At 43.1% G+C, this 21497-nt stretch overlaps 1 protein-coding gene across 11 annotated transcripts in view; it reads right to left on the reverse strand.

The window, feature by feature from the left end:
• The window catches only part of PTPRT (protein tyrosine phosphatase receptor type T), a 1158017-nt gene that overhangs the window by 576768 nt on the left and 559752 nt on the right, over positions 1-21497 (reverse strand). The gene's annotated exons all lie outside the window — the stretch shown is intronic.

Here is a 21497-nt window from a genome sequence, read left to right on the forward strand (position 1 = left end):
CTAGATTTCTCACACGCCTCGTGCTTGGGCTGGATGGCTGAAGGTCAGCCCAGCTGGCACTGTCACCTGGAGCACGGACTTAGGGTCTTGCCATGGGGTCCAGGCTTCTCACCGCATACAGAGTGAGTTCTGAAGGAGAAGATCTTCAAGGGAACAAGTGTCCTAAGAGACCACCCTCAAATGCCATGTGGTTCCAACTTTTCTCAAGGGGAAGGTACAGTTTTAGCCAGCCCAGACCCAAGGGAAGGGATCAGAGACATTCTTGATGGGAAGAGTGTCAAAGATTTGGGGGCCATGTTTTAAAGCCATCACAGGGAAGGACGTCAGGGTTTGGTATAGGATTGAGTTTGAATACCCTAGTCCCAGACACCCACCCCGTCTCTATGAGGAAGATAATACAGAACACTCCAACACTTTTTTTTCTTTTCATTTTTGAGACAGAGTCTCCTTCTGTCACCCAGGTTGGAGTGAAGTGGCGTGATCTTGGCTCACTGCAACCTCCACCTCCTGGGTTCAAGTGATTCTCCTGCCTCAGCCTCCTAAGTAGCTGGTACTACAGACACACATGACCATGCCGGGCTAATTTTTGTATTTTTAGAGGAGACAGGATTTCACTATGTGGGCCAGGCTGGTCTCGAACTCCTGACCGCAAACGATCCGCCCGCCTCAGCCTCCCAAAGTGCTGGGATTGCAGACTTGAGCCACCGCACCCAGCCCCCAACACTTTGAATTAAACCATTTTCATCCTTGAGGCATAAGTTTTAGGGTCCTTAAGGAACCTAGGTCCTTGCCTTTATTTATTGATGACAAAACTGAAGCCACGAGAGGACACTTGTTATGGCCAATGTCACATGTCTGCTAAGTGTCACAGCCAGTGTTCAAAAGGAGGCTGCTGACTCCAAATCCAACACTGACTCTTTGCTCCCAGGTCTGGCTGCTATAGCAGCTGGGCTGCCTCGTTCTTTCTACCAAGATATGGAATCCATCTTTAGAGCTGAGTAACCAGCTGCAAACCAGAGCCTTCCAGCTTCTCTTCCTCTAGGAGAAGGGCAAGGAACAGGGCGGCCCAGGGATGTGTGCTGTCTAGGGAGGCTGTAGGCTGGCAGACAAATAAGAGCAGATCAGCTGACCCCCACTCCCCCCAGGGCGGGTCTATGATGGGCAATTGGATAAACACATTCAGAACAGGATGAATGTGCAGCCGAGCGTGAGCACATTTTAAAATATACATTTCACCTCCATATGCAGATCCCAGTGACATGTGACAAATGTGCTGTGGCCTCCAGGAGCTGTTCTCCAAGGAGGCACTTATTTCATTTGACTCCAAGCATCCAACCTCAACAGATGGCAGAATTCAGATGGGTGGCGGGAAGCAGGCTTCAATTACTGCAGGAAGACTCAAGTTAGACAATGGGAAGAACTTTCCTTCTCTGGAACACCAGCTTTTTTCAGCGACTATTTTGCAATGTGATACACAGACTCAACATAGACACTTTCACGTGAATAAAAGTGCTCTCTGTAGAAATGGGGGGAAAAAAACCTGGTTGATAGAAACTTAGACTTTTAGCTCAGACTCCCAGATTTTCTGCAATACACTCATTCCACAAAGGGTGTCACCCTTGTGAGCACTTTTGGCTTAAATGAAGGCTCAGTGTCTCTTTTTGGAGAGCAGACAACATGTTAAGGACATAAATATGTAGATCTGCGGGTTTACTTGTTTTGTTTTTTTTTTTTGTTTTTTTTTTTGAGATGGGGTCTCACTATGTTGACCAGTCTGGTCTCGAACTTCTGGCCTCAAGCAATCCTCCCATCTTGGCCTCCCAAAGGGCTGGGATTACAGGCGTGAGCCACCATGCCTGACCTGAAATATGTAGATTTGAACTTGAAAACCTGAGAACTGAAGCCCTGTAACCTTTTCCAAACTAATCTGTGAGACAGGAAGGGGTTTAGAATTATATAAATAAGTCACCTGCTTGTGTGTCAGGCACATTTTTTCTTTTTCTGTTGTTGTTGTGGGGGATAACACCCTTTGTGAGATAAAACTCACAACCATACAATTATACAATTCATCCATTTAAAGTGTATAATGCAGTGAATTATCGTATATTCACATAGTTATGCAGCCATCATTGTAAGTCAATTTTAGAAAATGTTCATTACCCCAAAAAGAAATTCCATACCCTTCACTTCCACACAAACTCTTTGCCTAGGCAACCACTAATCTTCTTTCCGTGTCTATAGACTTACCTATTCTGAACATTGCAATACACTAGTCTTTCGTGTCTGACTTCTTTCCCTTATCATGTTATTTCAAGGTTTGTCTATGTTGCAGCATGTATGCCTTCATTCCTTTTTATTGTGGAAAAAGTGTTCACTGTATGGATATGCTATATTTAATTTATCCGATCATCAGCTGATGGGCATGTGGGCGGTTTCTATTTTGGGGTGATCATGAATACTACTGCTATGAGCATTCATGTACAAGGTTTCCTGTGGATGTATGTCTTCATTTATCTTGGATATGGACTTAGCAGTGGAATTGCTGAGCATGGAACTGTACATTTAACTTCTTGAGGAACTCCCAAACTGCTTTTCAAAGAGGCTGACCATGTTACACTCACAACAACAGTGTATGAGGATCCAATTTTTTCACATTCTCTCCAACACTTGTTATTATCTGTCTTTTTCATGGTGGCCATCCTACTGGGTGGGGAGGTGCTTCTTTTATGTTATCTCATTTCATCTTCAGAACGCTGCCATAAGGGCAGGCACTACCATCCCAATGTACAGATCACAATAGTGAGGCTCCAAGAGGTTGAGCCTGTCAAGGTTGCAAAGCTGGTAAAGAGGCATAAAGATGTGTTGTCAGGTTTGCCTGACACCTCTCCCACTTCCCTGTATCCCAGTCCACTCTCAGGCCCGTCACGCCACCTGCATAGCCCTCTCCATGTGTTTATCTTTGTGTTCCACGTGTGACTCATTGCTGAGATGGTCAGGAATGACAGCGACTGAACTTTCTATCCAAACTCACCTTCCTTCCCTGAGCCTTGAGATGGAACCATCCCCTCCTGGCTGTGGGCATTCCTTCTGTCAAGGGTGAGAGCCAGCCCAGACTGCCATGAAATAAACCAACATGCTTCTCTTCCCCAACCCCTCCATCAGTGCCCAGATCCAGCCCCACTAGGCTCCACCTGGCTCCATAGCTATTTCACCCACCTCTTGGAGCACATGAGGCTCTTGCCTGGTCCATCAATGGCTTCAGGGATCTCCCACATCAGACTTCCAGGAAATCTCCCTTTGGTTCAAAAAATCGTAATGAACAGGACCCTAAACAACCTAGCACCTCCTAAGACCCATGCTGACATGGGCCCTTGGTCGTGAGTTGCATCATTCAGCCTCCTGCTGAATGAGGTCAGCACCTGCTGGACCCACCCATCTCCTGACTCTTCCCCTTCCCCACCACACAGGAAGACAACTGATGCAGGGAGCATCAGTGTCAGGTGTGTTGTATTTATGTGACGCACACAGTTCCCTACTCTCCCACCATTGTTCTTCGATATATGACAAAACTCCCAATTTGTCAAATGCTTAACAGCAGTCAGGAAAATGTATTCTCCACACATCCACCGAGCTTTTCATTTTGCACAACTGTCAGCAAGAACAGTTTACAAATTTTCTGTCATGGAGATTCTGAAAGAATGGGGAAGAGGGGAGAAACACCCCCCACCCCAACCCCTTCTGTGAGTCACAGCCTCAACTTGACAGAAGCCCAGGCAGCAGCTGAGACTCCCCTGTTACATTACACGTCATCACTCTTTGCATTTAAGCCCATTTTCCATGCAGCCATTTCTGAATGCATTTCTGTTTCCATCAAATCCCTCCCCATGGTGTAAAAGTAAATATTAGACAGTGCCCTCCTCCTAAAAGACCTTGTATTTCAAGCTCAAAAAAGTCTCCTAGAGGGACTCAGTAGTAGACAGCTGTCTGCTCCACAGATGCCAGCCAGCTTCCCTGGCTGACATGCAACAGATTATCATGCAAACCCAGAAGCCTCAAGCTTTTAAGACATTATATATTGAAAATATACACTGAATCATCTTTAACAGAAAAAAAAAAACTAAAACCAACCAAAATTTCCAAAGAGAGACAATCGATTAAATAAATTATGATAACCCCCAAAATGGACCATGGTCCACCATGGAAAGAGTGTTTCTGTGGTGTGGGAATGTGGTTAGGATATGTTAACTAAAGCAAGTTTCAAAACTGTATTTACAGTATGATTCCCATTTAGTAAATGTATGTATGTATATTTATGCATAGGGGGAAAAAAGACCAGATGGATAGACACCCTAAATGTTAACACTCAAGAGATTATCTGCTTTTTAAAAAGATTTTTATTTTCATGTATTTTCCACATTTTCTTCCATGAAGCAAAAACTTTTTTTGAAAAAGTTGTTTCTGCTCAACAGTCTATTCATGGACCATTCCAAAAACTTTAAACTTGGCAGACTGCGGCCAGTTGTACAGTAAACATAATTTACAGCCCAATGGCTTTCTGGCAGTGAGCACTTTTTCATTCACACCAGGTGATGCCATACTGAACAGCAGCTGTCCATATGATTTTAATCACAGTAACTTTTGAAACCACAACTTGCAGTGCCCCTTATTTTGTTCCATTAAAAAGCTGTCTTTTGAAGCTAATGAGCAAATTCTCTGAGAACTGGAACCTAGCAAATGCTGAATCACTGGGCGAATAGCCCGTTAAATCCATACTAGTTATGCAGCTCTTTGAAGACACACACAGCTTAGGTAACTTGAAACTTCCCTCTGAGAATATATAAGATCTCTGGTTATCATATGTAAATGTAAGTCAATGCCTAACAAGAAATGATTATTTGCAAATACCTTGGCTATGATCTAAGTTGCAGATCTAATTTGAGGAGTAGCAGAGTGATCACTTTAGCACAGACCTGGAGGCTAAGATTACCCTTTACAGGGAAATCCTGAATAGGGTTGAGACTTCCCAAGAGACAGATTCTATGAGCTACTCACAATTACAACTGTCTAAGCTGAAAGAAAATTTCAACACTAAATCCCTTAGTCTTTCCTTTTCCTTTCTATTCAGTCTCTTCTGTTTTATCTCCTTTCCTACCCACCTTGAATATTTCTTGAGCTATCTCTTTAATAATACTTTTAGAATGTGCTTTCAAAACGTTTGCTTTCAGTCCTTCACAACCACTTGAAGGGGAAAAGAAGGAAAAGGACAAAAAAATATACATCCCTTGTGTATGAGTTTGCTAGAGCTGCTATAACAAAGTACCATAGACTGGGTGGGGGGTGGGGGCTTAACAATAGGAATTTATCATCCTATTGTTCTAGAAACTGAAAGTCCAAGATCAAGGTGTCAGCAGGGTGGATTCCTTTGAAGGGCTGTGAAAGAATCTGTTCCATGCCTCTCTCCTAGCTTCTGGTGGTTTGCTGGCAATCTCTGGTGTTTCTTGGCTTGCAGAAGCATCACCCTGATCTCTGCATTCAATTTCACATAGCATTCTCCCCAAGTGCATGGCTCTGTCTAAACTTCCCCTTTTTGTAAGGACACCTGTCACAATGGATTTGAACACCCCCAACACACACACCTAATGACCTTATCTTAATTTAACTGCATGCACAATGACCGTATTTCCAAATAAGGTCATATTCTGAGATCAGAGGGTTAGGACTTCAACATATAATTCAGGTCCATAGTACCTTGTACCAATCCAACCACAACTTTCTTTGAACCTATGCCCCAATCAGGGTCCTGAGCACTGCTGGAGAAAACTGTACAATCTCCAAGTGATAGCGTGGGTTCCAGTGTCAGCCGAGCTAACACTCCTTTGTCACCACCCCCTTCTATTCCCCACTGCAGCTTTTTTCAACTTTCACCATGCTCCTCTATTCCCTCAACTTCAGGAAATGATCTTACCTCCTACTTCACAGAAGCAAACAGAGGCCATCCCAAAAGAATGTTCTGACCACCCTGCAATGAATTATTTCCCTTTACTTGCTGTGTTAGTTCATTTTCATGCTGCTGATAAGGACATACCTGAGACTGGGCAATTTACAAAAGAAAGAGGTTTAATGCACTTACAGTTCCACATGGCTGGGGAGGCCTCACAATCATGGCAGAAGGCAAGGAAGAGCAAGTCACATCTTACGTGGATAGGTGGTCTCAGGCAAAGAGAGAGCTTGTATAGAGGAACTCTCGGTTTTTTTTGTTGTTTTCTTTTTTTTTTTTCTATTTTTTTTTTAATTATACTTTAAGTTTTAGGGTACATGTGCACATTGTGCAGGTTAGTTACATATGTATACATGTGCCATGCTGGTGTGCTGCACCCACTAACTCGTCATCTAGCATTAGGTATATCTCCCAATGCTATCCCTCCCCCCTCCCCCCACCCCACCACAGTCCCCAGAGTGTGATATTCCCCTTCCTGTGTCCATGTGATCTCATTGTTCAATTCCCACCTATGAGTGAGAATATGCGGTGTTTGGTTTTTTGTTCTTGCGATAGTTTACTGAGAATGATGATTTCCAATTTCATCCATGTCCCTACAAAGGACACGAACTCATCATTTTTTATGGCTGCATAGTATTCCATGGTGTATATGTGCCACAATTTCTTAATCCAGTCTATCATTGTTGGACATTTCGGTTGGTTCCAAGTCTTTGCTATTGTGAATAATGCTGCAATAAACATATGTGTGCATGTGTCTTTATAGCAGCATGATTTATAGTCATTTGGGTATATACCCAGTAATGGGATGGCTGGGTCAAATGGTATTTCTAGTTCTACATCCCTGAGGAATCGCCACAGTGACTTCTACAATGGTTGAACTGGATTACAGTCCCACCAACAGTGTAAAAGTGTTCCTATTTCTCCACATCCTCTCCAGCACCTGTTGTTTCCTGACTTTTTAATGATGGCCATTCTAACTGGTGTGAGATGGTATCTCATTGTGGTTTTGATTTGCATTTCTCTGATGGCCAGTGATGATGAGCATTTTTTCATGTGTTTTTTGGCTGCATAAATGTCTTCTTTTGAGAAGTGTCTGTTCATGTCCTTCGCCCACTTTTTGATGGGGTTGTTTGTTTTTTTCTTGTAAATTTGTTTGAGTTCATTGTAGATTCTGGATATTAGCCCTTTGTCAGATGAGTAGGTTGCGAAAATTTTCTCCCATTTTGTAGGTTGCCTGTTCACTCTGATGGTAGTTTCTTTTGCTGTGCAGAAGCTCTTTAGTTTAATGAGATCCCATTTGTGAATTTTGGCTTTTGTTGCCATTGCTTTTGGTGTTTTGGACATGAAGTCCTTGCCCATGCCTATGTCCTGAATGGTAATGCCTAGGTTTTCTCCTAGGGTTTTTATGGTTTTAGGTCTAACGTTTAAATCTTTAATCCATCTTGAATTGATTTTTGTATAAGGCATAAGGAAGGGATCCAGTTTCAGCTTTCTACATATGGCTAGCCAGTTTTCCCAGCACCATTTATTAAATAGGGAATCCTTTCCCCATTGCTTGTTTTTCTCAGGTTTGTCAAAGATCAGATAGTTGTAGATATGCAGCGTTATTTCTGAGGGCTCTGTTCTGTTCCATTGATCTATATCTCTGTTTTGGTACCAGTACCATGCTGTTTTGGTTACTGTAGCCTTGTAGTATAGTTTGAAGTCAGGTAGTGTGATGCCTCCAGCTTTGTTCTTTTGGGTTAGGATTGACTTGGCGATGCGGGCTCTTTTTTGGTTCCATATGAACTTTAAAGTAGTTTTTTCCAATTCTGTGAAGAAAGGCATTGGTAGCTTGATGGGGATGGCATTGAAACTGTAAATTACCTTGGGCAGTATGGCCATTTTCACAATATTGATTCTTCCTACCCATGAGCATGGAATGTTCTTCCATTTGTTTGTATCCTCTTTTATTTCCTTGAGCAGTGGTTTGTAGTTCTCCTTGAAGAGGTCCTTCACATCCCTTGTAAGTTGGATTCCTAGGTATTTTATTCTCTTTGAAGCAATTGTGAATGGGAGTTCACTCATGATTTGGCTCTCTGTTTGTCTGTTGTTGGTGTATAAGAATGCTTGTGATTTTTGTACATTGATTTTGTATCCTGAGAATTTGCTGAAGTTGCTTAACAGCTTAAGGAGATTTTGGGCTGAGACAATGGGGTTTTCTAGATATACAATCATGTCATCTGCAAACAGGGACAATTTGACTTCCTCTTTTCCTAATTGAATACCCTTTATTTCCTTCTCCTGCCTCATTGCCCTGGCCAGAACTTCCAACACTATGTTGAATAGGAGTGGTGAGAGAGGGCATCCCTGTCTTGTGCCAGTTTTCCAAGGGAATGCTTCCAGTTTTTGCCCATTCAGTATGATATTGGCTGTGGGTTTGTCATAGATAGCTCTTATTATTTTGAAATACCTCCCATCAATACCTAATTTATTGAGAGTTTTTAGCATGAAGGGTTGTTGAATTTTGTCAAAGGCTTTTTCCGCATCTATTGAGATAATCATGTGGTTTTTGTCTTTGGCTCTGTTTATATGCTGGATTACATTTATTGATTTGCGTATATTGAACCAGCCTTGCATCCCAGGGATGAAGCCTACTTGATCATGGTGGATAAGCTTTTTGATGTGCTGCTGGATTCGGTTTGCCAGTATTTTATTGAGGATTTTTGCCTCAATGTTCATCAAGGATATTGGTCTAAAATTCTCTTTTTTGGTTGTGTCTCTGCCCGGCTTTGGTATCAGAATGATGCTGGCCTCATAAAATGAGTTAGGGAGGATTCCCTCTTTTTCTGTTGATTGGAATAGCTTCAGAAGGAATGGTACCAGTTCCTCCTTGTACCTCTGGTAGAATTCAGCTGTGAATCCATCTGGTCCTGGACTCTTTTTGGTTGGTAAACTATTGATTATTGCCACAATTTCAGATCCTGTTATTGGTCTATTCAGAGATTCAACTTCTTCCTGGTTTAGTCTTGGGAGGGTGTATGTGTTGAGGAGTTTATCCATTTCTTCTAGATTTTCTAGTTTATTTGCGTAGAGGTGTTTGTAGTACTCTCTGATAGTAGTTTGTATTTCTGTGGGATTGGTGGTGATATCCCCTTTATCATTTTTTATTGCATCTATTTGATTCTTCTCTCTTTTTTTCTTTATTAGTCTTGATAGTGGTCTATCAATTTTGTTGATCCTTTCAAAAAACCAGCTCCTGGATTCATTGATTTTTTGAAGGGTTTTTTGTATCTCTATTTCCTTCAGTTCTGCTCTGATTTTAGTTATTTCTTGCCTTCTGCTAGCTTTTGAATGTGTTTGCTCTTGCTTTTCTTGTTCTTTTAATTGTGATGTTAGGGTGTCAATTTTGGATCTTTCCTGCTTTCTCTTGTGGGCATTTAGTGCTAGAAATTTCCCTCTACACACTGCTTTGAATGCGTCCCAGAGATTCTGGTATGTCGTGTCTTTGTTCTCGTTGGTTTCAAAGAACATCTTTATTTCTGCCTTCATTTCGTTATGTACCCAAGTAGTCATTCAGGAGCAGGTTGTTCAGTTTCCATGTCGTTGAGCGGCTTTGAGTGAGATTCTTAATCCTGAGTTCTAGTTTGATTGCACTGTGGTCTGAGAGATAGTTTGTTATAATTTCTGTTCTTTTACATTTGCTGAGGAGTGCTTTACTTCCAACTATGTGGTCAATTTTGGAATAGGTGTGTTGTGGTGCTGAAAAAAATGTATATTCTGTTGATTTGGGGTGGAGAGTTCTGTAGATGTCTATTAGGTCCGCTTGGTGCAGAGCTGAGTTCAATTCCTGGGTATCCTTGTTGACTTTCTGTCCGTTGATCTGTCTAATGTTGACAGGGGGGTGTTAAAGTCTCCCATTATTAATGTGTGGGAGTCTAAGTCTCTTTGTAGGTCACTCAGGACTTGCTTTATGAATCTGGGTGCTCCTGTATTGGGTGCATATATATTTAGGATAGTTAGCTCTTCTTGTTGAATTGATCCCTTTACCATTATGTAATGGCCTTCTTTGTCTCTTTTGATCTTTGTTGGTTTAAAGTCTGTTTTATCAGAGACTAGGATTGCAACCCCTGCCTTTTTTTGTTTTCCATTTGCTTGGTAGATCTTCCTCCATCCTTTTATTTTGAGCCTATGTGTGTCTCTGCACGTGAGATGGGTTTCCTGAATACAGCACACTGATGGGTCTTGACTCTTTATCCAACTTGCCAGTCTGTGTCTTTTAATTGGAGAATTTAGTCCATTTACATTTAAAGTTAGTATTTTTATATGTGAATTTGATCCTGTCATTATGATGTTAGCTGGTGATTTTGCTCGTAAGTTGATGCAGTTTCTTCCTAGTCTCGATGGTCTTTACATTTTGGCATGATTTTGCAGCGGCTGGTACCGGTTGCTCCTTTCCATGTTTAGCGCTTCCTTCAGGAGCTCTTTTAGGGCAGGCCTGGTGGTGACAAAATGTCTCAGCATTTGCTTGTCTGTAAAGTATTTAATTTCTCCTTCACTTATGAAGCTTAGTTTGGCTGGATATGAAATTCTGGGTTGAAAATTCTTTTCTTTAAGAATGTTGAATATTGGCCCCCACTCTCTTCTGGCTTGTAGGGTTTCTGCTGAGAGATCCGCTGTTAGTCTGATGGGCTTCCCTTTGAGGGTAACCCGACCTTTCTCTCTGGCTGCCCTTAACATTTTTTCCTTCATTTCAACTTTGGTGAATCTGACAATTATGTGTCTTGGAGTTGCTCTTCTCGAGGAGTATCTTTGTGGCATTCTCTGTATTTCCTGAATCTGAACGTTGGCCTGCCTTGCTAGATTGGGGAAGTTCTCCTGGATAATATCCTGCAGAGTGTTTTCCAACTTGGTTCCATTCTCCCTGTCACTTTCAGGTACACCAATCAGACGTAGATTTGGTCTTTTCACATAGTCCCATATTTCTTGGAGGCTTTGCTCATTTCTTTTTATTCTTTTTTCTCTAAACTTCCCTTCTCGCTTCATTTCATTCATTTCATCTTTCATTGCTGATGCCCTTTCTTCCAGTTGATCACATCGGCTCCTGAGGCTTCTGCATTCTTCACGTAGTTCTCGAGCCTTGGTTTTCAGCTCCATCAGCTCCTTTAAGCACTTCTCTGTATTGGTTATTCTAGTTATACATTCTTCTAAATTTTTTTCAAAGTTTTCAACTTCTTTGCCTTTGGTTTGAATGTCCTCCCGTAGCTCAGAGTAATTTGATCATCTGAAGCCTTCTTCTCTCAGCTCGTCAAAGTCATTCTGCATCCAGCTTTGTTCCGTTGCTGGTGAGGAACTGCGTTCCTTTGGAGGAGGAGAGGCGCTCTGCGTTTTAGAATTTCCAGTTTTTCTGTTCTGTTTTTTCCCCATCTTTGTGGTTTTATCTACTTTTGGTCTTTGATGATGGTGATGTACAGATGGGTTTTCGGTGTGGATGTCCTTTCTGTTTGTTAGTTTTCCTTCTAACAGACAGGACCCTCAGCTGCAGGTCTGTTGGAATACCCTGCCTTGTGAGGTGTCAGTGTGCCCCTGCTGGGGGGTGCCTCCCAGTTAGGCTGCTCGGGGGTCAGGGGTCAGGGACCCACTTGAGGAGGCAGTCTGCCTATTCTGAGATCTCCAGCTGCGTGCTGGGAGAACCACTGCTCTCTTCAAAGCTGTCAGACAGGGACACTTAAGTCTGTAGAGGTTACTGCTGTCTTTTTGTTTGTCTGTGCCCTGCCCCCAGAGGTGGAGCCTACAGAGGCAGGCAGGCCTCCTAGAGCTGTGGTGGGCTCCACCCAGTTCGAGCTTCCTGGCTGCTTTGTTTACCTAAGCAAGCCTGGGCAATGGCGGGCGCCCCTCCCCCAGCCTCGTTGTCGCCTTGCAGTTTGATCTCAGACTGCTGTGCTAGCAGTCAGCGAGATTCCGTGGGCGTAGGACCCTCCGAGCCAGGTGTGGGATATAATCTCGTGGTTTGCTGTTTTTTAAGCCGGTCTGAAAAGCGCAATATTCGGGTGGGAGTGACCCAATTTTCCAGGTGCGTCAGTCACCCCTTTCTTTGACTTCGAAAGGGAACTCCCTGACCCCTTGCACTTCCCAAGTGAGGCAATGCCTCGCCCTGCTTCGGCTTGCGCACGGTGCGCGCACCCACTGGCCTGCGCCCACTGTCTGGCACTCCCTAGTGAGATAAACCCGGTACCTCAGATGGAAATGCAGAAAACACCCGTCTTCTGCATCGCTCACGCTGGGAGCTGTAGACCGGAGGTGTTCCTATTCGGCCATCTTGGCTCCTCCCCCGAAACTTTCGTTTTTAAAACCATCAGATCTCATGAGACCCATTCACTATCAGGAGAACAGCATGGGAAAGACCCACCCCCATGATTCAATCATCTCCCACCAGGTCCCTCCCTCAACAAGTGGGAATTATGGGAGCTGCAAGATGAGATTTGGGTGGGGACAAAGAGCCAAACCATATCACCTGCCTCCTTTCTTTCCCCCTCTGCCCTGTCCTAAAGCAAGGTGCATCCTTCCCCCTGGGCTCTAGATCGCCTGCCCTCCAGCTCCTCGGGCCTTGCCCACACCAATTACCCTCTTGCTTCTGTCTTCAACCTCCCCATCTCCACTGGCTCCTTTCCATTAGCATTTAAACATGTCCAAATCTTTTCCCTCAAGAACACCCATAGCTCTTATCTCCAGGTCTCTCCAACAACCTCCTGTCCCCACCACATAGCCAAATTCATCAAAAGAGAAAAATAAGTTATCTCCACTTTTCTTGTCCTCAACCCATTCTATCAGACTCTTGCCATCACCTGTGGATTGTAAATTCTCCTGCCATGGATTCCTCCATTGCCCTCTTAAGGGGCCGCTTGGCAAGCATACAATGCCATTGACCTCATCCTCCTTTAAATATGGAATTCCTTGGCTTCTGAGTGATCCTATAGCCTCTCAGTTTTCCTTCTGGATTTGCTGTGCTGGCCACTCCCTAGATGTTCAATGGTTGCATTTCTTGGCATTGTTTTCAAGCTCTTTCCCTTCTCTTTCTGATCTCATCTAGTACTATGAATTAAACTACTACCTAGATCCTGGTGACTCTCAAATGTCTACTTCCAGTCTACTTTTTTCTCCTAAATTGCAGATGCCCACATTCCTCTCTAATATTACATCTCCCATGGGTGACCTACATCCAATAATAGTTATGAAAGAGAACAGCTAATAGCAGTAGGCTGAGTGATGGACTTAGGAAGGGCAAAGACCCCTTTGGCAGGGTTAAGAAAAGCAGAGGTGAAATGAGAGAGGTCAGGACAGTCACCTGAAGTATTTCATAGTTCTCTAAAAAGTACTCTCAGATTCAAATTTCCTTGACACTTTGCTAACCGTTCTGCACACCTACATCCTAAAGGACAGGGCTCTCCTTAACATGAATTAAATTTGAATATGCCTCTACCTTAGAAAATATATTGTTCCTCTACCAGTGTCCTGGCATATGGAGACTGCCTACTGAAAATCATGGGTATGACATTGATTTGTGTAATGCTAGCTTTGGAGTACATGTAGCTTTTTCTCTATGGACTTAAATTTTTTTTTTTTTTGAGACGGAGTCTCACTCTGCTGCCCAGGCTGGAGTGCAGTGGCGCCATCTCGGCTCACTGCAAGCTCCACCTCCTGGGTTCATGCCATTCTCCTGCCTCAGCCTCCCGAGTAGCTGGGACTACAGGCACCCGCCAACATGCCGGCTAATTTTTTGTATTTTTAGTAGAGACGGGGTTTCACCTTGTTAGCCAGGATGGTCTCAATCTCCTGACCTCCTGTTCCACCCACCTTGACTTCCCAAAGTGCTGGCATTACAGGCATGAGCCACCGTGCCCGGCCAGACTTAAATTTTAAGGGAGGCATTTACATTAAATTATACTTCCCACAATCCACTCAGCTTGGTCTTTGGCTCCATTGTTGGGTGGAATTACAATTGCTAGTACAGTAGCTGGATGTTAAATAGAAGTCAGTGTAGAACAATAGATGTCGAAATAAAAAACAAGATTAGAAACAGAAAAGTTCATGGCTTCAAAATGCATGTTAGCCTGGGGTAAAAAAACTGCATGGATCTTACAGAACATGGAGTCCAGCACTGATACGGACAGGAGATAGGGAAATACTGGTTTGAAGAAGGCAGTTCCCGGGCAAAGGCCCCCCACCTTCAAGCCAAGAAACCCACAGCCCTCAGTGAGAACAGGCATTCCTGTTTTTGCATCCAAAAAGTTGCCTTTTGGCCTGCTATGTCCCCCTATCTTGCATCCATATAAACCCTGAACCCCAGGCTCCAGAAAGAAATGCACGGACGAATGGCAAAATGGGGCAGCAGAGAAGAAGAGAAAAGAAGGAAAATCATCTTCCCACTCCATTCCCCCTCTAGCTCCCCATCCATCCCACGGAGAGCCACCTCCACCACTCAAAAAGACCCCCACATTCACTCTTTAAGTCCATGTGCAGCCTCATTCTTCCTAGACTCCAAACAAGAACCCGGGTGCCAAGAGGGCACTGAGCTGGTTAACTTTAGCTGTCTGCAGATTGCAAAGCCAAAAGAGCATGCTGTAACATGCCCGCTGGGCTTCAGGAGTCGCAGACACCCACCCTTAGAGACAACCAGGGGGCCAGAGGCCAAAGTCCTTGCCCTGGCTCCTAAACCTGCCTGTCTGTGTGCTCCCCCTCCCGTAAGGGGTTTGAGCTTGTGGCAGCTGAACAGAGAGGCATACCCCTGTCACATGTCATGTGGGGGAAGCAGGGAACTCTCCTGTTTCAGCACCTTCATTTTTAAAACAAGGATACTAAGGTTTAGAGAGAATAGTTACACTTTCTCAAGGTTAAACTCTACGGAATGGGATGAAATGGTGATAGAATTCAGTGCTTATTCCATCTCCATGTGAGAGGCCTGAGGGACATGGCATCATTCTGCTAGGGCCTTCGAGTTATTGGAATTTTTGCAAAGCATGTCAACATCCCACCCGGCAGAAACTCTGGCATATTCACTTCATCCACGTGCTTCTTCTGGGACCCCTTGTTTTAGCCAACTCCATACCCATACTTCAGGAGACTCCTGATTTTCCTGAACTCTGAGTCCTGGACTTGTGTTCCCACACCCAGCCTTGGCTCTTCTCTCAGGCTAACCTTAGCCCCATTTGCTCTGCTAGAATGTCCCTTTCTGTTTTCTTCCTCCTTTGGTTCTACTGCAACCAGCCTCACCAAACAGTATTCTGCTCATCTGTCTAGGAGCTCTGCAATACACCTGAGCTCATACCCTGCCACACCTGCCCCAGCCCCACGAAGGAAAACAAAACAATAGCAACAAACAAACAAACAAACAAAAAAAAAAAACCCTGCTGAACTCAGATTCTGATTCAGCTAGCATGAAGCCATGACTTGTACCAGGCACTGTCCTAGGTGCTGGGGTGAACACTGTCATATTTAACTTAACCTACCAGCCTTTCATAGAATCCTGCTCTGTGAAATTTGCACAGGGGCCAAAGGGAAACAAGGCATTATTTATAATAATTGGCTTGCCATTATCCATTCTGTTGGCGCTGCCTGCAACAACATGATGGACCTGTATGCTATTCACAGTCTATAAAAAAGTAGTTCTGTTGTGATTCAACATATAGTAATCTCCATTTTAAGAGGACAATAGAAACACTCAGCTGTTATTCATCCCAGAGCCTTAAACGGCAGAGAATTCCTTTATCAGGAACATAAGGTTAGAACAGCATGAGTTATTAACATTGAAAGTAGCCCAATGCATTTATTGAGGTGCTCAAACTATTGAAAAAAATTAACGATTTTTAAAAGTAAAAGGCTAGACCTCAAGTAGCACTTTGGGAGAAGTGTGTCAAAGGCACAAACTATTCAGAACTGCTTAGGTTGAAATGAGGATGGGGAAAGAGTCTTGGTCCCCATAACCCAACTCAGTTCTGAATGTTCTGAAGAGAGTAAAGGAGAAACGCCAGGCATGTTCAGAAATCCAGATTTGAGGGGCCAGGAGTGGTGGGAAATATGGGAGCAGCTGCAAATCATAGTTAATTAACAATCATTAGGGATACATGCATAACACATTTTGTATTCAGTTAGCTATTTATTTATTTATTCACAGCCACATTCCACAAAGGGCTTGAGGCAGCCTACAATGGCAAAATGCAAACAAGCGTAAAAAGTCAGGACTAGCATATACGGTGAGGAACACCTTGGCCAGAAGGGCACACATCTGTCAGCCCTAAGGGACTCCAGAGGTACCACAGTCAAGTTCCAAATTTGGCTTGAGGCATCCTGGCAGCCAAAGTGAAAAGGAGACAGGGTCAGGTCCAAGCATTCTCTTTAACAAGACACTGTTAAATGTCTTTCTTTCAAAGCAGGTAAAAAGCTGAACACTGACACAGCGGCCCCACAAATAACTGCAGAATCAGTGGTCTGCAACTGCAGTAAAATGGATGGGACAAGGGACAATGGCAAAGGAGTTGGGTTCTGGAGCTGAAAGTCCTCACTGTGAGGTCCAGCTTAACCTCTACTAGCTCCAGGGTCCTGGAGAAGATGTTTAATTTCTCTGGGGCACGTTCTTATTATGCATAAACCAGAGATTTAAAAAGACTTAATTTGCTAAGTCGTGTGTCAGAAAGAAGAAAAATGAAAGAGGGAGAACGAATAAAGGAATGAATAGGTATGTACTATGAAGTGAATTGAAACATATAGAGCACCTAGCATATGAAACATACCAGAACCTTTTCTAGTTTTTTTTTTTCTTTAATTCTTTCTGTGAAATTGAGTCTGGGTAGCAGACTGTTCCTCCATCTGAGTGGCTGTTTGTCAGTCTCTGTCTTCCCTCTCCCATCCTCTGCCCCTACCACTCTCTTCAACCTCAACTCCAGAGGTAGCTGGGGCTATGCCACATCTCAATCTCAGAACACCAGGGCACAGAGAAGTAAAGAGACCCAAGTGATGGATGGGTGGGTGAGTCTATAATTCTCAGAGGAACATTATTAGAAACAACAAGTGGTGATGGGCACAGGATCAACCAACACAATGAGAGAGAAAAACAGTCAACTCGGAGATCAGGTAATCAGTGATTGATAATCTGATAATGGTTGAACACTCACAAGGAAGGGCCATATACTGAAATGAGTCCATTTATTTTACATATTCCTACCTTGAGTGCTTGTTCACAAATATGCTTTACCTAATCCATTCTGATTTTGATGAAAAGTTCCATTTTGTAGAAATGGAACTTTTGTAGAACATTTCTACAAAATGGAACTTTTCATCAAAATCAGAATGGATGCCAGCAATCCATCCAAAACCAGAATAGAGCCAGCAATACTGGCTGTCTTGATGCTAAACACTTTTCGATATCAGCTAACAGCATGAGACTAACTATCGAGCTTTTGTGTTTTCAGTGACCGTATTTTTCTAAGCCAAACATTTAAAAAATTCACATAAAAGTCAAATTACTTGTATATATTTTGAGGCTCATCTAGTTTAAGAAAAAAAAGCTATCAAAAACTGAATATCTCTTGGAAATTCTGAGTCATACAGCCACTGCATTAAGCTACTTGGACAGGTGATCTTCCCATTTTTCAGATGATTCTCCTTACCTTCAAGCTTAGGTAAGAAGTCTCTGCTCTCTGTTCCCTTTGAACTTGCACACATCTCCATTCTAACACTTACCACTCTACAGCTGAGTTTCTGATTAGACTAAGAACCCACTGGCCACAGGATGTCTGCCCTATTCAGTTGCATGTTTCCAAAATTTGCTCAATAACAACCAAAGGGAACTGTTTTGCAAGCGTAGAAAATCAGTTCTTCAGTACACTACTAAATGCAGCAAGCTACCCTCCTTTTTTCTACATTGCCCTCTACACTTTTTAGCTTCTAGACTTCTCATCCTGCCTTGACCAGCCCCAGCTAGGCCTCTTTAGTTGCAAGATTCCAAGAAGTCAGAGAGGACCTACATTCACAGGGCCTGAGCCAGCTCGGAGAAACGGGCCCCCTGGGAGTAGCCACAGAGGGTCAGGTGGAATCCATCATGGTGCATCAGGGCTGAGAGTTGAATCTGTACAATAGCCCAGGCCATGGGAGGCCTTCCTAAGGCCCGACTTGACCACTAAGGATCTGTTACTTCTTGGGTCCCCAATCTAGCAGTGAGAGTGAAGGAAATTCTCAGGTTCCTTGGCCAAAACCTCAACTCTCTGCCTTCAGAATATGAGCTTAATGAGAATTCCCTGGATGAGAACCACTGTCATTCATTTAAATCACAGCTACACATTACCGTGAAGCCTTATCACACTGGGCCTCTCTGATCTCCTGTAAAGGGTCATCAATTTCTGTATCTTTTACTTTTTTTTGTCTGAATAATGAACATACTGCTGAAAGCAATGCCCGGGATGACCGGGCACATCTAGGAGATTCTAAAAGTGTGAGTTTCAGATTTTTGGTACGATTTTATTTTCTTCATGCTTAAAGTCTCATAAAATTCTGGATCCATTTAATCATACTACCTAATCATATGTTTATCATGAAAAGTAGCACTAATGTGGTAGGCAGACTGTTTTTCCATGTTTCTTTCTTTCTTTCTATTTTATTTTATTTTTTATTTTTTTAAGAGATAGGGTCTCTTTCACCTAGGCTAGAGCTTATTGCAGCCTCGCACACCTGGGATCAAACAACCCTCTTGCCTCAACCTCCCATGCCCATGTAGCTGGGACTACAGGTATATGCTACCACACCCAGCTAATTTTTTTAATTTTTTTGTAGAGATGAGGTCTCACTGTGTTACCTAGGTTGGTCTTGAACTCCTGGCATCAAGCAATCTTTCTGCCTTGGCCTCCCAAAGCACTGGGGTTACAGGCATGAGCCACCATGCCTGGCCCCATGTCCTGTTTCTAAACTAATAATTAGCAAGGTAAGGCAAAAACGGTCCTTTTACCTGTATTTGAGCTCACATCTACGGAGGCTTCAACAGAACAATTCCATGTCCTATTTTTGGAAGAAAGCTCCAATTTCTAGCCCTAGTTTTCAGTGTTGTGGAGTAGTTTTATTTCCTGTCTTTCGTATTTTTTTTTTAAAAAAAGCTTCTCCAACATTTTAGTTGCAATCTGAGACAGTCTGTTTCAGAGACAAAATTTTACAGCCAGATGCTCCAGTGTGAGCCGCTGCAGTTTGTTTCTAAGGATGATCAGTAACGAATGGGGAATGCTTGTCATTTGCTCAAATATTGTGAAGTCTTGTCTTTTCTTGGGCACATGCACACTTTTATAGGCAAGGTTTCATCCATCCGTAATGCCTGCTGGGACAACTGGGAGAACAGGTCAGTCATTTGCAGAAACAGACCTAAAACCCTAAGGCCTAGGAGCCATCACAGCCCCCACCCCATCTGGACATTAACAAGACACACAGGGTGGGGAAAGAAGGCAAATGGGAGTGCAGTGGAGTCAGGAGATAGGCAACTCTGGGCCTCCACTTCCGTGGGGGATTTTAATAATCTCCCTGGAGTCACAGTGGGTTGTTATAAGGAGGCAGAGGGAAGGTAGGATGGTTCTGATACAGAAAATAGCTCCTCAGTGGGACAGGGGAGATGACAGCAGAGAAGCTTTCAACCACCTTTTTTTTTGTGATGCCACAAGTCTCTGCAGCTCACCTGTATAGCGCTATTGCTCTATTCCACGTGACAAAACATGAGTCACCTGCTCAATTAGTTTCATTCAGTCCATTATCCCTATAGCTAGGGAGAGCTCTCTCCCATAAACTGGCAAATCATTGTTCAATATATTTAATCTTAATATGGTTGATCCTTCCTTTTCTTTCTTTTTACCTCTCTTCCTCTCTCCATCCTTCTTATTCATCCATCCACCTATCTATCCATCCATTTACCTGAAGGTATGTTGACCATCTACTTTGTGTCAGGTACTATTCCAAGCACTTAATATACAATATCTGATTAAATTTTAACAATACCCTGGAAGTTAGCTCTTAATATTCTTTATGAATATTATATGAGGTTTAGAGAGTTTATGTGTCTTGTCCAAGATTCAGCAAAATTCAGCCCATGGGCTAAATTCAACCTATTTTTGTAAATAAAGTTTAGTTGGAACATATCCATGCCCATTTGTTTACGTATGACACAATTTCAGCAGAGTGGAGTAGTTACAACAGAGACCATTTGGTCCACAAATGCTAACATATTTACTAACTGGCCCTTAACTGAAAAAGTTTGCCAACCCCTGTTCTTGCCCAGTAATACTTAGCAAGAAAGTAGCAGAGTCAAAGATTCAAACCCAGATCTATTTAACTCAAAAGGCCATAATTCTTCAATGCTGTGTCATGCAACAGAAGTATGTGAGTTTTGTCTACATGACTTCTTGACACCTAGGGTGAGATGGCCAGGCTAGATTTATGGTAAGAGGAACAGATCTGACATATATTACTTAGTAAGTAGCCAATTACTGTGGAAGACTCTCTTCATTTGTAAGAAAAGCCAGTGAGGATGCTTTTTTTTTTTTTCCTGGTGAAGTAATTATAGAGACGAGTGTTGATGCATGTTTTGACTTTGCTGCAAAAGTAGTTCTGTCTTCTCCAGTTTAAGTAATTACATTAGTTTCTAAATAGAGCAGATGGAACTATAGTTGTCAAAGAATGCAAAGATCAGTCAACTGCATTTATGGTGTGACATTCTAAGCAGAGATACCGCAAAGTATCTTGTGCAAAACCAACTAGGTGAGTGCTATTGAGCACCTGTGAGCCAGAAGAAAACAGGAGAAAAATGTGGCTAAATGGAAATGGAAATTTCTACACAATGGGATCTGGTGGCAAACACATTTTCCTACCATAATGCCCCAACAATTGCTTGTTTTCTAATGTTGCCTGGTTGGGGGAAGATATATTCTGAGTGTTCCTCCAAACTTGTAGAACTCAATTTTTCTGGGGGAGAGGGTTGTCCTAAGATGGTCTGCTTGGTACTCAGAGTGCAAAGATGTCTCCTGCAAGAAGCAAGCAGCTTATGAAGGAAGCAATGACTTAAAGCAGACACGTTACCTCTAAAGAACAGGGAGAAGATCAAATCCAGAACCAGGCAGTAGTAATAAGGGAACTGACCTGGCAATAGGCCAAGGATCCAAACGACATGGGAACCAGGCATGATTCAAAACAGCCACTGCTGAACACCTACACCAATGGGGGGAAAAATGATACTCTTAGCGTTAGAGTCCACAACTGCTACAGAGTCTCAGCTGTGATTTCTACTGCCGGGTGTCCCCATAGAAGTCTGCATCCCAACCCCTGAGACCTGTGAATATGTTACCTTACTTAGCAAAAGGGACTTTGCAGATATAATTAAGCTAAAGATCTTGAGATGGGGAGATTATTCTTCATTTTTTGGGTGGGCTCAGTGTAATCACAAGTGTCCTTGTAAATGAAAGTGGGAGGTAAGAGGGTCAGAGTCAGAGAGAGATGTCAA

This window comes from Homo sapiens, chromosome 20, assembly GCF_000001405.40.
Source record: "Homo sapiens chromosome 20, GRCh38.p14 Primary Assembly".
In the NCBI taxonomy this organism is placed as follows: Eukaryota; Metazoa; Chordata; class Mammalia; order Primates; family Hominidae; genus Homo; species Homo sapiens.